General features: G+C 42.9%; 1 protein-coding gene and 1 pseudogene across 15 annotated transcripts in view, besides 1 other annotated feature; one reads left to right on the top strand and one right to left on the bottom strand.

Annotated features, from left to right (window-relative positions):
• Positions 1-22,990, bottom strand: part of INTS9 (integrator complex subunit 9) — a 122,309-nt gene that overhangs the window by 12,675 nt on the left and 86,644 nt on the right. For all 15 annotated transcript variants that reach the window (NR_026826.3, XM_047421958.1, XM_047421956.1 and 12 more), the window contains 4 exons: positions 16,209-16,320; positions 13,472-13,652; positions 7,494-7,554; positions 488-659 (listed from right to left, as the gene is read on the bottom strand). Coding sequence is in view for 14 of the 15 variants with exons in the window: in XM_047421958.1 (XP_047277914.1) it covers positions 488-659; positions 7,494-7,554; positions 13,472-13,652; positions 16,209-16,320 (526 nt within the window). In the remaining variant the exon portion in view is untranslated. The remainder of the gene's footprint in view (positions 1-487; positions 660-7,493; positions 7,555-13,471; positions 13,653-16,208; positions 16,321-22,990) is intronic.
• On the top strand, positions 2,115-2,204 carry LOC124902104 (uncharacterized; annotated as a pseudogene).
• Positions 9,587-10,087: an enhancer, noted in NCBI's record as "H3K27ac hESC enhancer chr8:28647439-28647939 (GRCh37/hg19 assembly coordinates)". NCBI's record gives its function as "activates a minimal SCP1, AML or CMV promoter by ChIP-STARR-seq in primed H9 embryonic stem cells {active_cell/tissue: H9 hESC(primed)}" and the evidence as "EXISTENCE:reporter gene assay evidence [ECO:0000049][PMID:30033119]".

The following is a 22,990-nucleotide window of genomic DNA, read 5'->3' on the forward strand; positions in this document are numbered from 1 at the left end:
GGGCACGCTACACTGATAAAATGATACAGTCATTATCTATGTAAACACTCTACTTGACCTTATCAAAGGAATTTTTTCCCCTGAGGGATTTGTCTCCAGAAGAAAATCCACAGTTAGAGTAAACCACAATCAGAAGAAAAAGATCTACCTCTGTAAACAATTCCTAACAGGTAAAACAACACCGTTACTGAATCACTGCACTTCTTGAAATGGCTTACGATATCCTAGCAAAAGCACTCAGCAGGATTCTGTCTTGGAGAAATCTGAAAACACAGGCATGAAGGCCTCGCTGGATGCCCAGCTGTCCAATGGCACACACTGCTTCACTCTTTCTCTGCGGTTTCTTCATTCTTTGGTACCTACAGTAGAACAATGTTTGTATTTATGTCTCACTGCAAAATCCTTCCCTGGGTCTCTACCTTGTAGGTGCATTCACTCATGGCCTCAGTGGAGAGAACCAATTTGTTTCTTTATTTTTTTCACTTACCCGTGAATATGACGGTATTGAGACTAGATTTTCCCCAGAGCTCCATGAAGTGGACCACGTCCCCGAAGCGGAGGGAAGGGTGCCCGGTGAACACCACACAGGGCTGTCTAAAGTCGTTGCTGAAGTCTCCGTGGATGCTGGGGTAGTGCTTCAGCTTATTGGTCTGAATGAGCTGGAAAATATAGAAAAAATACAAAGAAATGTGAGCCTGCCCAGGCTGAAGGGGGAACCAAAGTACGGGAGGGTGAGCGGGACTGGATCTAAAATACCAACAAAGAAGACAAGCCACGGATTGGGAGAAAATACCTGCAAAAGTCACACCTGAGAGAGGACTGTGACCCAGAATCTATGAACTCCGAAACCTCAGCAAAAAGAAATGAACAGCCCTATTAAAAAGTGGGCAAAAAACCTGAACAGACACCTCATCAGAGAAGAGAGATGGCAAATGAGCATACGAAAAAATGCTCCACACCGTATGTCATTAGGAAACTGCAAATTAAAATGATGAGATACCACTATACACCTGTTATAATAAAATGGCCAAAATCCAGAACACTCACAGCACCAAATGCTGACAAGGATATGGAAGAACAAGGACTCTCATTCACTGCTGGTGGGAATGCAAAAGGATACAGCCACTTTGAAAGATATTTTGAAAAATCATGTCCACAAGAAACCTGCACATGAATGTCCTAATTGCTAAAACGTGGAAACAACCAAGATGTGTCCTTCAGCAGGTGAAGGATGAAACTGATGCATCCAGACAATGGAATATTATTCAGCCCTAAAAAAGAAATGAGCTGCCAAGCTACGAAAAGACATGAAGGAACCTATTCCTAAGTGAAGGGCGCCACTCTGAAAAGCCAAGGCCCCTATGATTCCAACTGTATGACGTTCTGGAAAAGGCAAAACTATACAGATAGTAAAAGGCTCAGCGGTCACCAGGGATTCGTGGAGAGTGAAATGAACAGGCTGAGCACAGAGGATCTGCAGAGTGAGGAAGCTCCTCTGTGTGATGATGTAATGGTGGATCCAGGTCACTGTTCATTTGTTCAAAACCATAGAAAGCACAACGCCAAGGGAACCCCTACTGTAAACTCTGGGCTTTGGGCGAGAGTGACGTGTCAATGTGGGTTCATCAGCCGTAGCAAACGCACCTCTCTGGTGTGGGATGGTGCAGTGGGCAACTGCGTGTGTGGGGCAGGGGCATATGATTGCCGTGAACCTAAAACTGCTGTGAAAAGTAACACTTATTAATTTAAAAAAATACAAGTGAATCTTATTAAAATAGTTTTTACCCAGAATGTGATTTGTGGAACACATGGGCAAGTCAAGTCTTTCTGGTAATACTGACATACTTCCTGGAAACATATTCAGATTGTTATGGCCTGCTTTAGCTGGACTCTTCCTTTATAAGCTGCCTGACACTCCACACCAGGCCTGAAGTTCTCATTATCACTTCTTGTTTGAAGTACAAGTGACTTTCCCAACACTCGTGAATCACCAAGTCCTGGTGACAGTAACCACATTCGTCACACCAGAAACACTGTTTGCCAGTACAGGACCTCCTCCTGCAAAGCTAGAGCTGTGTTAAGCTACTGCAGCAACTGAATAAGGACCAAGACCAAAGACTGTACTTTCAGGGATCATTTCTGTTGTTTGCTACTAGAGAAGCTTCTCTGAATGTGTACAGCATGTGGACATGTGTGCACACATGCACACATACACGCACACACACATGCACGACAAAGATCAAATTGGCTTTTAGAAATGTGATGTCCTGGTAACACAGACAGTTATATTAAGAAATGGGCTAGGCACAATGGCTTACGCCTGTAATTCCAGCACTTTGGGAGACAAAGACAAGAGGATTGCTTGAGCCCAGAAGTTTGAGACCAGGCTGGGCAACAAAGCAAGACCCTGTCTCTACAAAAAATAAAAAAAGTTCTTGGATACTGTGGCTAGAGCCCAGGAGTTCAAGGTTGCAGTAATCTATGATTGCAACGCTGTATTCTGGCATGGGTAACTGAGACCCTGTCACTAAAAAAAACACATACACACACAAAAAAACCCCCAGCACTTTGGGATGCTCAGGTGGGCAGATCACAAGGTCAGGAGATGGAGACCATCCTGGCTAACATGGTGAAACCCCGTCTCTACTAAAAATACAAAAAATTAGCTGGGCCTGGTGGCGGACACCTGTAGTCCGTTACTCGGGAGGCTGAGGCAGGAGAATGGCATGAACCCAGGAGGCGGAGCTTGCAGTGAGCCGAGATGGCGCCACTGCACTCCAGCCTGGGCGACAGTGAGACTCCGTCTCAAAAAAAAAAAAAAAAAAAAAAAAAAAGAAGCAGGTGCCCCGCAGCCTCAAAGCTTTCTTTCAAGTGTACGTGTTGAACCAAGAGTCTCCCCTGCAGCATAACACTTGACAATCATCTCCCAGTGTCAGGCCCATTCAAGGCAATAGCAAAGACAGTTATGACTAGATGGCATCTTGTAACGTCTCAGACACTGTGCCTGCTGCCCAGGCCTCCTTGCCCCACCCCAGCATCCAGAGGCTAGACACCCAGACTTCACAGACCCTAAATATCAACCAGGCCAAAGGAAGCACTGCTCTGGAAGGCTGTTTCATGGATAAAGCAATGGCCTGTGATAGGCTCAATCCTGTTGCCACATGTTGTGCATGAGAGGGCCCTGGGCAACACCTTGAAGTGCAAATGAAGTCACCCTAAGAGTGGGGATGTGGCCAGAATAGGACATACCCCAAACAGAAGCCAAACTCTCTTCACCTTGAAGACCTCATCTTTAATTGAAGAGACCTGGTTGTATTAGGAAGACACTAACACTGTCCTGGAGATCTTCATCAGCTGTCGCATGCTTGGATGGAATATGAATAGTAAAGCCGGAGCAAACATCGAATTCCCACGTTCCTTCCAGGTAGTCTGCAAGTTGAACTGACATTCTTTTTATAAACTATATGGCCAAAATCATTAGTTGTCTCAGTTAAATGGGTGAGTGGCTGTCAAAAAGGGTCTATTGTATCCTAAGATGTCAAGATGATGAATGTGATTCTAAGAATAGCAGCAGGTCTCTGCACACGTAAGTCACTTTTAAGCATTATCTATAGTTCCTGTAGCTCTACTGATCAATGCACAGAAACTAAGATAAATTCATCGTTTTTTGCCAATTGGATCTACCTTTCTAGCCAACTTACTGCATTTGACCAGTGGAAATGAAGCTGTGGGGCAGGAATTCTGAACAGTAATTTGTTACCAGTACTAAGGGTGGAACCACCGTTTCTCATGGGCATTGGTAACATTACCAAGGGTTGACTCCCTCATGCCCTAACAACGACAAGTGCACCTGAGGAACCCTCATGGTACGACCACAGTCTACTCACATTCCTAACTCTAAATGGCACCAGGTCATTTGTGACAGGTGTGTGAGTGAGAATGTGATCACACTCCTAGAAAACAAGCTCTACAGCAAGGCTGACTGCAAAGGAAGCAAAACAGACATTCAAGAGCAAAGTCCACCACAAGATGTTTTGCCACACTTAATTTTCTGACATTTTTATAATATTTCTAGCCTGTGTTTCACTATGGCATTGACACAGCTTGCAAAAACCCTGGCTGCCAAAATACTATTTAGACTACAGGGACCAAAAAATAACTTCTTCAAAACCTTCTACTTGGCATCCTGGTTCATAAAAGACCTATCCTTTACAGTATGAAAACAGCAATTACATTTAAAGTAATTAGCAGGACATTTGTTGAAATACGTGTTAGTTAACTATAAAACAAAACAACTAAATCCCTAAACATATCTATCTGCACTGACATGCTGTAAGTAAAAACAGTCTACCTGCCTTAGTTGAGGAGGGGTTATAAATATGACAATCAAAGAAATGAGTGTGGGGAGATAATCGCAGTTAACATGGATGTATTATAACAGTACAACCATCAAAAGCAGGGAATGAACAGTGACACAACACTGCCCCCTCTCATCTACACACCCGATTCAGACTTTACCAACTGTTATCAATGCTCCTAATAGCAAACAAACTAGATCTTTCTTCTTCCATTTCCAGATCCAGCCCATGGCCATGGAGTACATCTATCTGTCACATCTCTTCATTCTCTCGGCAGTTCCTCAGTCTTCCCTTGTCCTCTAGGTCTCTGACATTCTCAAAGGGTACAGGTCAGTTATTTTGTTGAGCATCCTCGACTTGGGTCTGAATGCTCACTAGATTCAGGTGAAGCATTTTTAGCAGCAGGATCACAGAAATCATGCTGCTTTCTCAATAATTTGTGTTAAGAGCCACGCAATGTCAGTTAGTCCAATTACTGGTGATGTTAACGTTGACTGCATATGTCAAGTTTGTCCAAACTCCAGTTACTATTTCTGTCTTTGTAATAAACATGACTTTTGTGGGGACATACTTTTTGGGACTATAAATGATCTAGTTCTTCATAACATTTTCACCCACTGGTTTTAGCACCCACTGGTGTTTCTTGCAGGAATAAATTATTACTGCGGTGGCTGCCAAATGGTGATTTTCTAATTCTAAGGTTCTTTCCTATGTTAACTATGAGTTTACTGTTGGAAGAACTTTCCCCTCTTGCCTATGTACTCAGTTACCTCACTATGGATGCAGGAGTTTCTGTTATTCAGTGGATTATATTCATTACTAGCATTATTTATTTTGATGTTCCAGTGACCTCAGATGTGGCTTCTGACATGTCCCCATCTTTCTCTGAGCATACAGCAAGATCTTACAGCCTCATCTTGTATTTTCCAAAGAGGCCTGGTTCCTTTTAGTGGAGAATGGTATCTAGAAACCAACATGTGGGAGCTAAATGTGTTCCTCAGTTAGTGGCATGTCACTGCTCCCAGGCCCTCTGTGTGGCCAGAGCTGGAAGATACGTATGTGCACAGACACACACATACACACACATGCACAAGTGGATTTCTTTCTGTATCTACATATATTGAAAATAGGAGTTCACACCAATACCATCAATTCTATCCAACAGCACAGGATTCATTCCAGCCTTCACTCTTTCCTTATATCTAACTCTGTACACCTTGATGGATTTTTTACAAGGTGAACACATGTACATCAAGAAATAAAGCATTACTAGCTCCTCAGAAATCCCTCTTTGTCCCCTTCCTGTCACTACTGTCCCCTCCCCTCCAGGATCACTACCACACTGGCATCTAATACCACAGATCAGTTTATTGTGTTTTTGAACTTTTATGTAAATAAAATCATACCATATCTACTCTTTTATATCTGGATCTTTCACTCACATTATGTTTGTGCAGTTTATCTACACTGCATATAATTGGAGCTTATTTGTTCACAGTGATGTAAGGGACTGTGTGAGTATACCACAAAATCCATGCTATTGTTGATGGGAATTTGAGTATATTTCAGTACTATTACCAAAAATTTTAGATTTTTTTTTTTTTTTGAGACAGGGTCTTGCTCTGTCACCCAGACTGGTGTGCAGTAAGTAGCACGATTGCAGTTCACTGCAGCAGCCTCGAACTCCCTCAGCTTCAGGTGATCCTCCCACCCCAGCCTCTAGGGTAGCTAGAACTACAGGCATGTGCCACCACACCGGGCTAATTTTTTGTATTTTTTTGTAGAGACAGGGTTTTGCCATGATGTCAAGGTTGGTCTCAAATTCCTGGCCTCCAGTGATCCTCCCACTTCAGCCTCCCAAAGTGTTGGGATTATAGGTGTGAGCCACCGCACCTGACCAAATTCTAGATTTGTGTGTGTGTCTTTTGGTAACATCTCTATGCATTTCTGTTCAATGTATACTTTAGGAACAAAACTGCGGAGGCATAGAGTACATTGTTCAGCTTTAGCAGATACTGTCAGTTTTCTTTTTTTCTTTTTTTGAGACGGAGTCTCACTCTGTGACCCAGGCTAGAGTGCAGTGGCGCGATCTGGGCTCACTGCAAGCTCCGCCTCCCAGGTTCACGCCATTCTCCTGCTTCAGCCTCCCGAGCAGTTGTGACTACAGGCACCCGCCACCACGCCTGGCTAATTTTTTGTATTTGTAGTAGAGACGGGGTTTCACTGTGTTAGCCAGGATGGTCTCGATCTCCTGACCTTGTGATCCACCCGCCTTGGCCTCCCAAAGTGCTGGGATTACAGGCGTGAGCCACCGAGCCCAGCCAATACTGTCAGTTTTCTAAGGTGGTGATACCAATTTAGAGAATCTTTGAGTGAAAATATAACCAAAAATGAGGAGTAACTATTGTCTGTTAGCTTCATTGTAGTAGAGCAATAATAACATGAGACGCAGAAAAACGTTCATAATATACCCTTGGGTGAAAAGAACCTGACAACAAAGCTAGGTATTCAGCTATATAGAAAACACCCATTTGTTCTGTGAGGGAGGAAGAAGCCTTTTATTTGTTGAACTGAAATGTTATTTTCGTCACTAAAAATGTACATATATGACTGACATAACTGGAAAGAACACTCTGACAATACATAAACCCAATTTAAAAAGGTAGTAATATGTATCGAAATACAATTCATCATGCAGTCAGTAGAACAGAAGCAGGCTATGAATTGCATGAACATGGTACAGGCTGAGCATCCCTAATCCAAAATGTTCCAGTATCTGAACTTTTTGGGCACCAACATGATGCTCAAAGGAAATGCTCATTGGAGCATTTTGATTTCAGACTTTCAAATTTGGGATGCTCAACCAGTAAGTATATTCCCGAATCCCAAGTCTGAAACAATTCTGCGGTCCACAACATTTTGGAGAAGGGCTGCTCCACGTGCGCAATAGAAAGTGTTAATAGGAGGAAAGCAAGTGAAGCTTGAGTTAAAATACTTCCCTGTGTCTGACTTGGGAGGCAAAGGGGTCTACAGGTTTACACAGCAATCTATTTCATCTAACGACCTGCTGTCTGCATCTGCATCAGGTTATCCACATTGCTTCCTTCCCATGTCCCAGTGATTTTGTTTTCTTACCTCTGCATGAGGAAAAGGTGGTTCTGGAAGATACACCTTACTCTGTTTGTTGTGACAAAGCCTATTAAAGAGGAAAAACACATCAGCATGTGAGGAAGAGCATACGGTGGCATCTGTTGCCACCTAGTGGCAGCAGTGCAAATATTAAATACTGAAGTTTATTTAAAAATTTCCCGCCAGTGAATTTCACTGTGAATGAAATCCAGTGCCTACAGAGAAGAGATGTATCTTGTATGTTTTTAAACTTTAGAATTTCTCAATACATTTTTTCTTAAAATATAAACTTGTTATTTTGGAATAATTTTAGATTTAAAGAAAAGCTGCAAAGACAGTACAGAGTTTCCATGGCCTCTTCACCCTATGTCCCCAGAGTTAACATCTGATATGACTGGCACAGTCGTCAACTAAGAAATTAACATCAGGCCAATGACAATCAACTAAACTCCAGACTTCATTCAGATTTCACTAGTTTTTCCAATCATGTCCCTTTTCTGTTCCAGGATCCAATCCGTGGTATCATATTGCATTTAGTTGTGGTCAATTTCACAAAGAAAGTGATCTACACCTTGAGACATGGCTTCTGTTTTTGTCCATGCACTTTTTTTTTGGAGACAGAGTTTCGCTCTTGTTGCCCAGCTGGAGTGCAATGGCGCGATCTCGGCTCACTGCAACCTCCACCTCCTGGGTTCCAGTGGTTCTCCTGCCAAAGCCTCCCAAGTAGCTGGGATTACAGGCACCTGCCACCACACTCGGCGAATTTTTGTATTTTTAGTAGAGACGGGGTTTCACCATGTTGGCCAGGCTGGTCTCAAACTGCTGACCTCAGGTGATCCACCCGCCTCGGCCTCCCAAAGTGCTGAGATTACAGGCGTGAGCCACTGTGCCTGGCCCTCACACTCTTTTTAACAGCAGCATTGGTAACTCCAACTAGAGAAGAACAAAGGATCACAGGCTAGAGACAATGTGAATGTTTTTGGTAATTTACATTTGCTTTTTCCTAGTCAGTTATGACTTTACAATACTGAGATGTCTGGATAAAGCAAATGTGGCAAAAAGTTCACAGTTGATAAATCAATATATGTGGGTGTTGTGCAGGTTTGACATTTAAAAAAATAGTCACTACTTTGAGGGGAGGAGCTCAGGACTTCAGGGCTTGGATTTTGTATTAATACATTGTATCTAATTTTTCCTACCCTTAGTTTCGTTTAAGTTTGGTTTAAAAAAACATCACTTTATACCCTACTTGGAAGATATAAATATGGAAGAGCAAGATGCTTTTGGAGGGTTACCTTATATTATCTAAATAGACACTAGTTCTGTCTTTATTTCTAGCTCAGGGAGACAAATATAAGAGCTTGGTTCTAAACTTATTTTGATTGTTCCAAAGGACATTATCCTACATGCATTAAAGGCAGAGATTAGGGATACAGAAGAGATTACAATATGATTAGAGATTGTGAAGCCCACCTACATAATGCTTAGGCCAGTTCTGCTAACAGATCCTCCATACTCTGCTCTAGAATCCTCATGCAGGCACAGCAGACAGGGACCCACCCCCTTTCTAAGACAGAGGCTGAAGGACCTGATTAGAGTTTGCTTCTTCTGGGGGTAGCTGTTAGAGTTCAAAAGGAGATCTGTGTATACCAGATTATCAGGAAGAATGAAGAATAAATGGCGCTTCTAGGTTTATCTCTAATTGGGAATGTGACAGACCCTCCTGCTCCCTGATGGCCAGACCTCAGGTACCGCACACTCTTCCACTGCTTGTTCAAAAAAGGATCAGAGCCAGGCACTGTGGCTCAGGACTGTAATCCCACCACTCTGGAAGGCCAAGGCGGGCAGATCACTTGAACCCAGGAGTTCATGGGTTCAGACGAGATGCAACCTTGTCTGTACAAAAATTAGCTGGGCATGATGGTGACACCTGTAGTCCCAGGTACTCAGGAGGCTGAGGTGGGAGGATCGCTTGAGACCAGGAGGTTGAGGCTGCAGTGAGCCGTGATTGTGCTACTGCACTCCAGCCTGGGCGACAGAGTGAGAGCCTGTCTCAAAAACCAACCAACCAACCAACCAACACTCCAAACCCCAACACTCCAAACTCCAAAAGATCAGAGAGGTCTTTCAAGAGCTATTCCCTCCCATCTCCATCCCCTGCAAAAACAAAACCAACCCAAACAACCAAGCCCCTTAGCTCGGAGCAAGGGCAGACACTGGACAGCAAGGGGCTGGGCTTCTGCAGGCATCAAAGCAGGACCATGTAGAAGCCAGAGCAGAACCCCTGAGAACGGGAAGCACAGAGCCAGGGAACCAGAGTGATAGGGAACAGCAGGCCGGGCCTGAGGCTGAGCACAGAGCAGCCAGGCTGTGAAGCACCCGTTCAGAACACCAAAGAGGAGAGGAAGCCAAACCCTCAGCACAGGCTTGTGGTGGTCCTGGCATGGGGGGCTGGGACTTGCTAAGTTAATGCAAGTCTGGAGCTAGCAGCTATCCATTTTGGTAACTGAGTTCCTTATTTAGGGAAAAAGGGTGCCTTACAGCAAGGCTGCATGAAAGAGAACAGCACAGTGAAACAGAAACACAGAGAAATCCCCCAGGCTCAAGAAATCCTCTTGCCTCAGCCTCCCGAGTAGCTGGAACTATGGACATGCACCACCATACCCTGCTAATATTTTAATCTTTTGTGGAAATGAGGTCTTGCTATGTTGCTCAGGCTGATCTCGAACTCCTGGCCTCAAGCAATCCTCCCGCCTTGGCCTCCTAAAGTGCTGGGATTACAGGTGTGAGCCACCCTGATCGGCCTCTTCTACTTCTTTAACTATTTGTCTTCACACTTTTCCTAAATATTTGTTCTCTAATGACCCCAAAAATGCAGGCATTACTTAAGTCCATCCTTTCCCCACTGCCTGTTCTTCTAACCTCAAATCCTCTCCCCAGACAATCCCATTCATTCTTGTGGCAATCCCAGCCACTCAACTACCTCAACGCTGAGGACACCCCAACCTATGACTCCAGCCTGGGCTTCTCAGATCTTTGGATTGGACAAGTTTCACCTGCACATCCCCTGCCTCAGGCACCGTCAATGCCCTCAGGGACAAAACCAAACTAAGCTAACCACACTTGCTGTATGAACCTACCCTTCCTTTGTAGAACCTATTTTGTTTGGGGTCAACACGATCTACTACACTAGAAATTGTGGTGTCAATCTTGATTGCTACCTTTTCTGTATCAAGTAACCAGTAAGTCCTGCCCCTTGTATTTCCTAATCACCTCTCATATGGGTTCCTGCCTTGCTTTCCTCCAGGATGGTAGAGACTGGAGTCTTCAGTCCCTCGACTTCTGCAAAGACTCTTGTCTTGTACTTCAGTTGCACCCCCTCCCACCACCTCCCAACAAACTTCACATAAATGCAGAAGGCTCTATATAAAATGCACATATAATCATGTTCATTTCCTGCTTAGAATCCTCCAATGAATCCCCCCCATGGACAGGATCCCTCTAGCCTCATACCCTGCCACTCCCCACCCTGAACTTCATACTGTAACAATAAAGAACTATGGATAGTTCTCTGAACAAACCAAACCATTCTAACCTCCCATCTATGTCTTGGCTTGTGTTATCCTCTCCACCCACACATCACCGCCGGCAGACCACCCAACTCATCCTTAAATAGTGTTTCTGTCTGGCTGATTCTTGGTTATTCTTCAGGAGCACCTCCTTCCAGAATGCCTTTCTTAACCCCCCAAATGGGGTCACCACCCACCCCTTCTCTGAATACCATACAGATATACGTAGGTGTGTGTGTGGGTATGTGTGTATATATTTCCATCAGATTACTTCCGAGTGGTAAGAGGTTTACACAGCTGCCTCTTCCTTCATGGTACAGATTCCTCAAGGTCAGGGACCTCTTTGTATCCTCAGTGCTTTGGCACTTAAAGGTTTATGGATTTAAGCAAATAGAACTATCGATGGAAACAAGAATAATATGATCACTGAGTTTAAGAGTCTACGGGAGGAATATTTGAAAAGCTTAAAAGACAGACACACATCCCATGTCTCAGCATGGGAAAACTACTGCAAACTGTAATTTATAGGTTTTGTGGACTCAAAAAGATATTCTGAAAACTGATACAGTGATTCCACAATTCTTCCACAAAAATAAGTAAGCAAAAATAGCTCCAAGAATTCTAAGAAAAATAATGGAGAAATGTACTTTACCACAGAGTACAATTATAAGTGAGGCTGCAGTTATTAAAATATATTAGCATCATGTTGGCCAAAGAATGAATGGATCACTCAATCAGGATAGTCTAGAAACAAAACCTGGTGCATATGAAAGTCTGGCATATGGCATTAATACAAATCAGCTGAAAAAGTTAACATTACTCAATAAATAGTACTTGGACAGGTAAGTACTTGACTACTTGGGAAAAAATGAAATTAATGCTTCTCTTCATACTATATACTAAAACAAATTCCAGATAAAATAGTTAAGGGGTGATGTAAAAAAAGAAAGAAAGAAGCTACAATAAAACTGAAAGAAAGTATGTTTAGCCATGTGACACCTATAGAGGCAAGAATTTTCTAAACATAGTATCAACAGAAGAAACTGCAAAAGAGACTAAAACTATCAGTATAAAAAACTAAAAAAAACTTCTTGCAAAAAAACAAAAAAATCAAAGGCCTAAATGCAATGTGTTACCCTGGATTGGATCCCAAACAAAAACAAAAAAAAAAATTTGTGGAAAAACTGGTGCAATCAGAATAAAGATTCAGAGTTAATAATAATGTACTAATGTTATTTAAGGGTGGGCGCAGTGGCTCATGCCTGTAATCCCAGCACTTTGGGAGGCCGAGGCGGGTGGATCACCTGAGGTCAGGAGTTCGAGACCAGCTGACCAGCATGGTGAAACCCTGTCTCTACTAAGAATACAAAAATTAGCCGGGCATGGTGGCGGGTGCCTGTAATCCCAGCTTCTTCGGAGGCTGAGGCAGGAGATTTGCTTGAACCCAGGAGGCGGAGGTTGCAGTGAGCGGAGATTGTGCCACTGTACTCCAGCCTGGGCAACAGAGCAAGACTCCGTCTCAAAAAAAAAAAAAAGTGACAAAGAAGAATAATTTGTACATGGGATAGAGACGCCTGTATGAGTCTAAACACAGCGGGGAAAAAAACGACCACAGAAGGGAATGAAAAAAGTACTTTACAAAAGCAAGGGTTGGGGGCAGCGTAACTGAATATATCATGAGAAGATGATGTACAAATTCCTTTTTAATTAGAAACTCAGTACATGCTGTGTCTATCGGCTACCTCATGACTAAAAGGGATTAAATGCAGCCTAGACTGCCTGTGTCACAGTCCCGGAACGTTTGGGAAGCACCATTCTAAGGCACCACTGGGGATATTGTAAAAGTTATTTTCCTCTTCTCCCTTTATTTTTGGTCAGGTGAGTTACATTCAAACATGCACCTAAATAACTCTAAAAAGGTTCACTAATTTCATATTGTTTCATATTTTGCCAACTCTAGGATTTGATCAATTTTCTGATGTAATAAAATTTTGTCAAATATCATACTATTGCAATTTTTAAAAATCTAGTTTTTCTTCTCAGATTTGGCACTATACATTTTAGACAACATGAGATTGGGCTTGAAAATTTTTTTAACTTTTAGAATGTCATTTCACCTAGTAACAGGCAGAGGGTGACATGTGATAAGTATATAAGATTTTTGTTACCAGTTTTGAAAGTGCTGGGCTAAGGTAAGTCTCTGCCTTGCATTCTTCCCTCTTTGACAACTATTATTCTAAACTTAGCAATGCAACAGATTTGGCTTTTAATAATGCAATCTTATCACAGACAGAAAAACAACAAAATGAAATTTCCACAGTAATGTGAGAAAAAACAGGATTATTTTTATTCTTACTGCTTGAATGTCCTGAATCAAATAAAATTCACAAAAAAAAAAAAAAACCACGGACATACCACTCAGCAAAGATCTGGGAAAACTCCAGTGAACTGTTGGCCACAGGGGAGATGAAGTAGAGGGGGACGCTGGAAAGCCCGGCTGAGTCGATGTACTGATATAGGCACTCCAGGAGGTCATAGATCACTCCAGAAGGGTAGCAGGGAACCAACACGTTTCCTCCATTCCGGACTGTCAGAGCTAGAAAAGTGGATGCCAGAGGAGAAAAAACATCATATCAAAAGGGCAGTGTTATAAAGATAAACTTGTAAAATAAGATTTGCACTTGTTTTCCTACTTCTGTTTTTATGATTTACTTACATGTCTAATAAGCTGCTTCTTTTGAAGAACACATCAAAGCAGGGGATGCTATAGGCTGATAATGATTTTCTCATCATTGTCTAATCTAGGTCCCTGGGAATAGAGCATGTGACTACGGGTTTGGGTTTTTACCAATGGCAGCTGAGCTTCAGGACAGAGCCTCCAAGCTCCTTCCCGTTTTAGATCCTGCTCAAAAATTTGCTGGATTTGTCTCTGTTCAGTCTCTGACCATGGCTGAATGACCTATAAGAAAATAGGCCGAGTTTTTCTGTTTGACTAACGTTTGTCTGCAGGAGTTAGTAGTATTTTCTTTCATTAACATTTGTCTGCAGGAAAATCCCCTATACTTTAAGTACTTAGGCTCACCTAGATGCTATAACTTGAGGGCTGGTGGACTTGCTATTACTAGAGTATGGTACTAGAGTAGGATACAGTGGAGAAAATCAACATCGCTGGTCATAGCTCAAGAGCCTGTCTCAAATCCTACCTTTGTCCCAACCCACAGGACCACAGGAAAGCCACTACAACCTTCCTTGGCCTCAGTTTCTGCATCAGTTACATGAAAAGAATGAATTAGATCAGTAATTTTCAAGCTTTAGTTTGCGTGGAAAATGCCAGAGAACATGTTGAAAATGCAACTTTTCTTCTGGAAGTCTCCTTTCCCCAGAGATTCTGACTTACTAGGTCTAAGGTAGGGCCCCCAAATTTGCATTTTTAATAAGTAATCCCATTGGTCTTAAGGGAATGCGGTTAGTGGACCCCACTTTGGGAGACTGAATTAAATGTAAGGTTCCTTTCAAGCCTAAAGTTCTTTGAGTCTGTGATTCTAGATTATAAACAAACATACAAACCAAGACTCTATTTGAGATTAGTCCAATTATTTTTCTAAGGTACAAATAAATTACCTTTGCATTAGTATCAAAGAACAAAAACAGACTATGTTTATTAGCATGGCTAAGTTTAATTTCTAAGAACAGTGCCTTCCGTGTAAATATAAGATGACCACTTCTTCTTCCTAGAGCAGAAGTAATATCACTTAAAGTTGCTGGAGCTGAAGGTCTGAGCTCATTAATACCTCTTTGGTAGCTGTTACGGACTGAATGTGTGTGTCCCCCACAAGATTCTCATGTTGGCCTAACCCCCACTGTGATGGTACAGAGAGGCAGGGACTTTGGGAAGTGATTAGGTTTAGATGAGGTCGAGGGTGCAGGCCCCATGATGGGATTCATGCCCTCATAAGAAGAGGAAGAGAGGCCAGGCATGGTGGCTCACACCTGTAATCCCAGCACTTTGGGAGGCCGAGGCGGACGGATCATGAGGTCAGGAGTTCGAGACCAGATGGGCCAACATAGTGAAACCTTGTCTCTACTAAAAATACAAAAATTAGCCGGGCACAGTGGCGCACACCTGTAGTCCCAGCTACTCGGGAGGCTGAAGCAGGAGAATCGCTTGAACCTGGGAGGCGGAGGTTGCAGTGAGCCAAGATCGTGCCACTGCACTCTAGCCTGGGCAACAGAGCAAGACTCCGTCTCAAAAAAAAAAAAAAAAAAAAAAAAAAAAGAAGAGGAAGAGACACCAGAGCTTCCCCTCTTCTCCACATGAGGACACTGCAAGATGGCAATCATCTGCATCAAGAAACGACCATGCTGGCACGCTAATCTCAGACTTCCCAGTCTCCAGAATTGTGAGAAGTTAATGTCTGCAGTATTTTGTTACGGCAGCCCAAACTAACTAAGACAGTAACCAACCTATTTGTCTAAATGAGAAGCAGAACTTCCAGATTTAGTGACAGTTATATCCGAAGGAAAATAAATTTCTTCCAGGTAGAAAATGCCCCATACCTCTCTTAATTTAGCCTTTCCTCAAAAGAAGAAAAAATAAAACCAACCAAATATTAGTGGGGAAAAAATATACCTGTTTGGCCGGGCACTGTGGCTCATGCCGGAAATCCCAGCATTTTGGGAGGCCAAAGCGGGCGGATTGCCTGAGGTCAGGAGTTCCAGACCAGCCTGGCCAACATGGTGAAACCATGTCTCTACAAAAAATACAGAAATTAGCCGGGTGTGTTGGCACACGCCTGTAGTCCCAGCTACTCAGGAGATTGAGTCAGGAGAACTGCTTGAACCCAGCAGACAGAGGTTGCAGTAACCCAAGATTATGCCACTGCACTCAAGCCTGGGTGACAGAGAAGACTCTGTCTCAAAAACAACCACACAAACATTCATACATATCTATCTGTTCACTGTATCGCTGCTGTGAGTTCAAAGTGTAACACTCTTTTCTGTGCTATTATTTGCAAAGATATACTGCCTCCCTCCTTTGACAACTGCTACCCTGTAAGCACTCCTTCCCCCATTATTGTAAAATATTATATTTATTATTGTAAAATAAATGCAAGATAGATCATCCAACGTAAGATGAGAGACGGTTGCACACCTAGGTTGCTGCAGAACTCTCCCACCATTCCATCTGGGTTTGCAGTGGGGATCTGGGTAAGCCCTGTCAGAACAAGAACATCGCTGTTTTTGAGAGAAGCTTGGTCCATGGGCTGAAAAAGAACACAGAAATATGGTTAGTAATTTTAAAAGGAACATTACCTACAAATAGTGAAAGAATACGAGAACACAGACATTGCTCTTTCTACGTTTAACCCATCATCGAGTTCTCTTATGTTCTCTAAGGAATAGTCTGTCCTTAACCACTGGCTGCCTAAGTTGGGTGGGGACTGATGGGAGGAGGCAAGAGGGAGCTTTATAAGGGATGAACAAGTTCTGTATCTTCACTGGGGCACTGATTATATCAAAATTCAGTATTACACATTTAAGATCTTTGTGTTTCACCATATATACATTTTACCTCCATTAAAACAAGGTATCTTGTATTTCTGTAATGCTTTCTTCTTTTCAAAATGCTATCTCACGTGTCATCAGTGGCTCTCAAGCTTCATGAGTCAGAATCCCCTGGACGGTGTGCTAAAACACGGATTGTTGGGCCCCTCCCAGAGTTTCAGATTCAGGTTGGGGTGGGGCCTGAGAATCTGCATTTTCACATCTTCCCAGGAGATGCTGCCATTGCCGGCCTGGGGAATCACACTTTGAGAAGCATACGTTATAGAATTTGATTCTCAGAATAACTCTGAAGCACAGGAAATAAGCATACACTATCGGAATATGGAATTTAGGACTCAAAGAGGTAAGGAGATTTACACTAAGTCCCAGTGGCATAGAAGCCATGAAGAACCCTGGATTGGGAACTAGAAGGTCAAATCTACTCCCAATTCCATGACCAGCCTCATGACCTCAGTCACAGCTCTGAGCTGGATTTCCTATAAAATGGGGCTATTTCTTGACCCATCTCCCCTAGATGACTTCAGTAAGTCTCACAGGTTAACATCCATGATCTTCTTGTGAACTAGGAACTCCCAGGGCACACTACTATGTGATTCTTAGGATGCTGTGTTTTTATTTTTACTCACCACAGCTTGAATGTAATTTTGATTGTTTTCAAAGCATTTCAAAAAATATTACCCTTTCTAAATAAATTAGGATTAAAATAAGAAACCAAAATGAGGGCCCATGGATTGAGAAGCTGGAGAGCTCACAGGAGAGTTCATAAAGGTTTCCATCTGAAACACATCCTTTCCTCATCTCCATTGAAAATACCCAGTGGATCGTCAGAAGAAAAAAGCCAGCAACACAGTTTACTAAGAAGGCTTACTCCTCTTTTTTCTCTCCCACCCAATTTCGCAGTAAATAAAATTCCAAATAATAGCAAAGTCTCAACATCTGCATTGTGGTCTCCGAGTAGCTGTGCCTTCAGTATTTTCCTTTCACCTTCTATTATATATAAGCATGGATACATGAGCTTCATTATTTTTTAAATAACACAATTTTGATCTTACGTTATAAGCGGCTTTATAACCTGAAAAACATTTAATATGGAAACAGAAAAAGGCCAGTGGTGAAGACAGCTATATGTGAATAGCTTCTATTTTCTATTTGCACAAGTATATTCACACAAATATGTAAGAGCTTTTTCTCTGCTTGGGCAGAACTCATCTATTTGTACTTCTCCAACAAATACATATGCATCCATTATTTCCAGAGAAGAGAGGAAGGGAAGTACAGGACAGTGATTCTTAGCAGCAGATGTGTAAGGGGCCTCAGACTGTTTCTCGTGTGCGAGTTATCAACTGCAAGGAAACCAGAATGGTGAGAAAGGAACCAAGGCATCAATGGATAGCACAGTTAGCTTAAAATGGCAATCATTTTATATGGACCTTGTTAGAATGAACCAATAATGATCCCGAGGGCTAAAGGGAGATGAGGGACTTTAGAGGATCCAGGAACCTTCTAAAATGGTATATACAATTCTGTGTGTGCCTGTGTAAACTTTTCTTTTTTCTTTTTTTTCTTTGAGACAGCTCTGTTGCCCAGGCTGGAGTGCAGTGGTGCCATCTCGGCTCACTGCAACCTCCACCTCCTGGGTTCAAGGAATTCTCCTGCCTCAGCCTCCTGAGTAGCTGGGATTACAGGTGCTCATCACCAAGCCCGGCTAACTTTTGTATTTTTAGTAGAGAAAACTTTTCACCATGTTGGCCAGGCTGGTCTTGTACTCCTGACCTCAAGCGATCTGCCTGCCTTGATCTCCCAAAGTGCTGGGATTACAGTCGTGAGCCACCACGACCAGCCTCTGTGTATACTTTTCCATAAATTTAACTGGGTGGTGAAATGGGGCCATGACCCCAAAAAGATGAAGAACTACTGATTCACACTTGAACTCTGACATTTGAGGCTGCAGTGAGCTATGTTTGCACCACTGCGCTTTAGCCTGGGTGGCAGTGCAAGACTCTCTCCCTCTCAAATAAAACAAAAGACCTACTGATCCAGATAAAAATATATAACACAGGTCAGGCTCAGTGGCTCACACCTGTAATCCCAGCACTTTGTGAGGCCAAGGCGGGTGGATCACGAGGTCAGGCGTTCGAGACCAGCCTGGCCAACATAGCGAAACCCAGTCTCTACTAAAAATACAAATAATTAGCTAGGCGTGCTGGCGGGCACCTGTAATCCCACCTACTCGGGAGGCTGAAGCAGGAGAATTGTTTGAACCCGGGAGGCGGAGGTTGCAGTGAGCCAAGATCACACCATTGCACTCCAGCCTGGGCAACAAGAGCGAAACTCCGTCTCAAACAAAACAAAACATATAACACAGAGCAAACTCTAGAAACATTATCTCTGAACCTTGGCCATTAGCATCTTCTTCCTTTGAATGTTAAATGACCACTAACAAACAAACAGAGGCAGTGCTACAGTACGAATGTCGAATGTCACCGAGTTGGAACCATTGTAAGATACCTCATGATCAGGTCAGACTGGATGTTTGTAATTTTAGCTCTTAACTCAGAGACATTTCTCGTTGATTCCCAGGGCTACTGTGATGAAGCAGGCTTAAAAGGCTTTTAGTGACACTCCAAACCAAGCTGACACCTCAAACAACTCCATTTCACCACTAAAGGGCAAATGTATAGATTACTGGTGTCAATGACCACTCAATGAGTGCTGCAAACGGGAACATTTTGTTCAAATACACACACAAAGAAAAAGCCATCTTGTCCAAGTACCAACTTAAAATACCTTACAAAGTTGAAAGTCACAAACAAGTGATTCTTCTTCTTGGTCACTTTGCAAGCCGGGGACCCCTAGCCAGCAACACCCAACTCGGGCCTCACTCAGCCACATTGGTGTGCTGAGGTCAGTAATACATGGCTTTTTGGCAGATGATGTTTTGCTCCAGTTTTCTTTCACTCCTTGGCTAAGGAACTTAATACTCAATTTCAACAGCCTGGGTCACTCACTGCCTTTGGAACATCTCCCGGACATCTCTCCCTTCCCCTATACCAAGTTGTCCCTTTAATATGTGCCCTGGGGCATCTAATACTTTCTATCTCAGCACTGATCACTCCAAACTGAAAGTACTATTTACTTGTCTGTGTCCCCCACAGGACTCTGAAGCTCCGTGAAGGCAAGAACTTTGTTTCCCTGTTGCCTAGCAAAATGCCTGGCATACAGCATTTACTAAACAAACATTTGCTGAACAGATGAATATATAAAAAGAACATGGTCTGGTAGGAAACGTCAGAATTTCACACTGGGAGAGTGCAGTGGGAGTCAGGAAGGTGAGGGGAAGCATGCAGACTGCAGGAGGCGGGAGGGCATGGGCAGGGCAAGGCAGCATGCATATGCCAAATGAATGTACTTGGCCAGGATGGAGAGTGTACTTTGGGCCGGAGAAAGGAGTTGAGTAAAGAGAGTGCAATTGGTAAAGGGCCAAAAAGGTCAGGATCATGCCCACTGACAGAGCAGGCAGTGAGAAGCCAACAGTCTGAAGCAGCAAATGACATTCTGGTAACAGCAATTACAGGAGATTTCACCAAAGGAGGTGGGTGAGATCAAACAGACAGAGAACATTTTTAAGGCCCATATAGCAGTCCAGACAGGAGAAACAAATTATAATGTCATGGCAGGTGAGGAGATGGAAGCAGCAGATCCACTTGACGGATCACCTGCACCCTGGAGAAAAGTTCTGCATGTACACATCTTCTCCCCCTATTATAACATCTGTAAATTTCATGTTTCTCCTATAGCCTAGTTAACTCTGTTCCCCAAAGTAGGGGTTTAGGAAATATCACTAACTATGTGAGGTAATGAATGAACAACTAAACAAATGCACATAAATGGTATACGTTACTTCTGAGAGAAGGAAATATTCTGCAGAGAGAAGCTGTACAGCCAGATAAGACAAACAAGATAGCAAGCGTGGAAAGAAACAGGTGGAGGGCCAGTAAATTGTCCAGTCTCCCCCTCCTTGCTTCATGGAACCAACCTCCAACTGATCCATGGACTATTAGTAGCTCAGCCTACCTGCCACCCTAGCCCCCAAATATATTAGGTTTAACTTTTACTGTAGAGCTTCCAGATCAGAGCATAGTATTGCAGAAACAGCAAAACATTTGGGGAAATTCAGGGGGAAGAAATCATTACAAAAAAACAAAACAAACCTACATAGCAACTGCCTTAGTTCTTAAAAATTTGATTCGGCTGGGCACGGTGGCTCACGCCTATAATCCCAGAACTTTGGGAGGCCAAGGCAGGTGGATCGCTTGAGCCCAGGAGTTTGAAACCAGCCTCAGCAACATGGCAAAACCCCATCTCTACAAAAAATACAAAAAAATTAGCCTGGCATGGTGGTGTGCGCCTATACCTCTAGCTACTCAGGAGGCTGAGATGGGAGGAACTCTTAAGCCCAGGAGGCAGAAGCTGCAGTGAACTGAGATCATGCCCTTGCCCTCCAGCCTGAGTGACAGAGTAAGACTCTGTCTCAAAACAAACAAACAAACAAAAAAACAAAAAAAACCCAAAAAACAAAAACCTTGATACAAGAAATCCAAATTTAAGATATTTTCTTTAGATTTAAGAAACTACATTACTGCCAGTCTTTATTTACTTATTTATTTATTTTTGAGACAGAATCTTGCCCTGTTGCTCAGACTGGAGTGCAATGGCGTGATCTCAGCTCACTGCAGCCTCAACCTCCTTGGGCTAAAGTAAGACTCCCACCTCAGCTTCCCAAGTAGCTGGGACCACAGGTGTGTGCCACCATGGCCAGCTAATTTTTGTATTTTTTGTAGAGATGGAGTTTTACCATGTTGCCCAGCCTGGTCTCAAACTCCTGGGCTCAAGCAATCCTCCTGCCTCGACCTCCCAAAGTGCTGGGATTACAGGCGGGAGCCACCAGGCCCAACCAGTGCCAGAGTCTTTAAGACCTCAAGAAAATGAGCCAATAGGAGCATTCCCCTGACCTTCAAAGGGAAAAGGATCATGAAGTACAGGTGTGGGAATTGTGCCAGCTCTAGGAGACATTCTCATAGGCCAATCACCGCCTTCCAATCCCATGGATAAGAAGGAATTCCCACAGTGAAGAATAAAACATCATAAGCTCAGGGAATGACTGGGTGGAAAATGCCAATTCATTTTCTTTTATTTCATTTCTTAAACAAATTATTTCCAAAATTCTAAGCCAGAGATTCTTAACCTGATAAATAACAATGGGCTTCTGAGGACTCCATAAACTCAGGGTCCCCAGAAATAAAAAGCGAAGTCTGTGTCAATGTGCATAAATGTTTTATTACTTTTTTTGGAGTAGTTCTCTCAGATTCTTACTATCAGGCTTTTGGTTAATGACCCACAAAATGTTAAGAACCACTGCTCGAAGGCAGACATCCCCCTGTGGAATCCTTGCTTTCAAATAATCTCTCCTCTCCTTCTCCCTCATAGACCCAAGGAACCTTAGAAACCAGAGAACCACGTGTCTTAGCTTCAAGGCCAAAAGTTATATGGGAAGGAAACAGCCCATTTGACTGGCTGTGCTTGGTTTTCCAAATTCATTCCAGAACAGAGACCAAGGTGTTGGTGCTGGAGAGTCTTCAAGGCCTTCAGGTAAGAGCTAAAGGCGTAGGATGGATACTTTCCAGGTTTCTTTTGTGGTCAGAAAGATGAGAAAAGATCAAAACAATAAACAAACTAAACCTAAACACAAATGAAAACATACTGCCAAGAGTAACAACAAAATATTCTACCACGCCCTACAATTTTCCATACTTCAAATCTTAGCCTGGTAAGGACATCAGTGTCACATTCTATTATAGATAAGTTTCTAAAACTAACCAGGCCTAGCTCATGCCTGTAATCCCACCACTTTGGGAGGCTGAGATGGGTGAATCACTTGAGCCCAGGAGTTCAAGACCACCCTGGGCAACATGGTAAAACCCCGTTTCTACAAAAAAAAAAAAAAAAAAATTAGCCAGATGTGCTGGTGCACTGTAGTCCCAGCTATTTGGGAGGCTGAGGTGGGAGGATCATCTGAGCCCATAGAGTTTGAGGTTGCAGTGAGTCATGATCATGCCACTGCACTCCAACCTGGGCAACAGAGTGAGACTGTCTCAAAAATAAATAAATAAAGTAAGTAAATAATAAAACCAAGCCCTAACGTCTAGGTATATGTAGCTTTTGCTATACTATGCTGGGGAATTTCACATCTCAAACTCAAGTCTACCCCTGAAGTCAGACAGAGTAGCCAAGAAGCTATTGAAATAATATGACTATTAAGTTGACTTTTCAAACCAACATAATACAAAATGTAGTATTCAAATACAGGTT

This window comes from Homo sapiens, chromosome 8 (assembly GCF_000001405.40).
Source record: "Homo sapiens chromosome 8, GRCh38.p14 Primary Assembly".
Classification (NCBI taxonomy): Eukaryota; Metazoa; Chordata; class Mammalia; order Primates; family Hominidae; genus Homo; species Homo sapiens.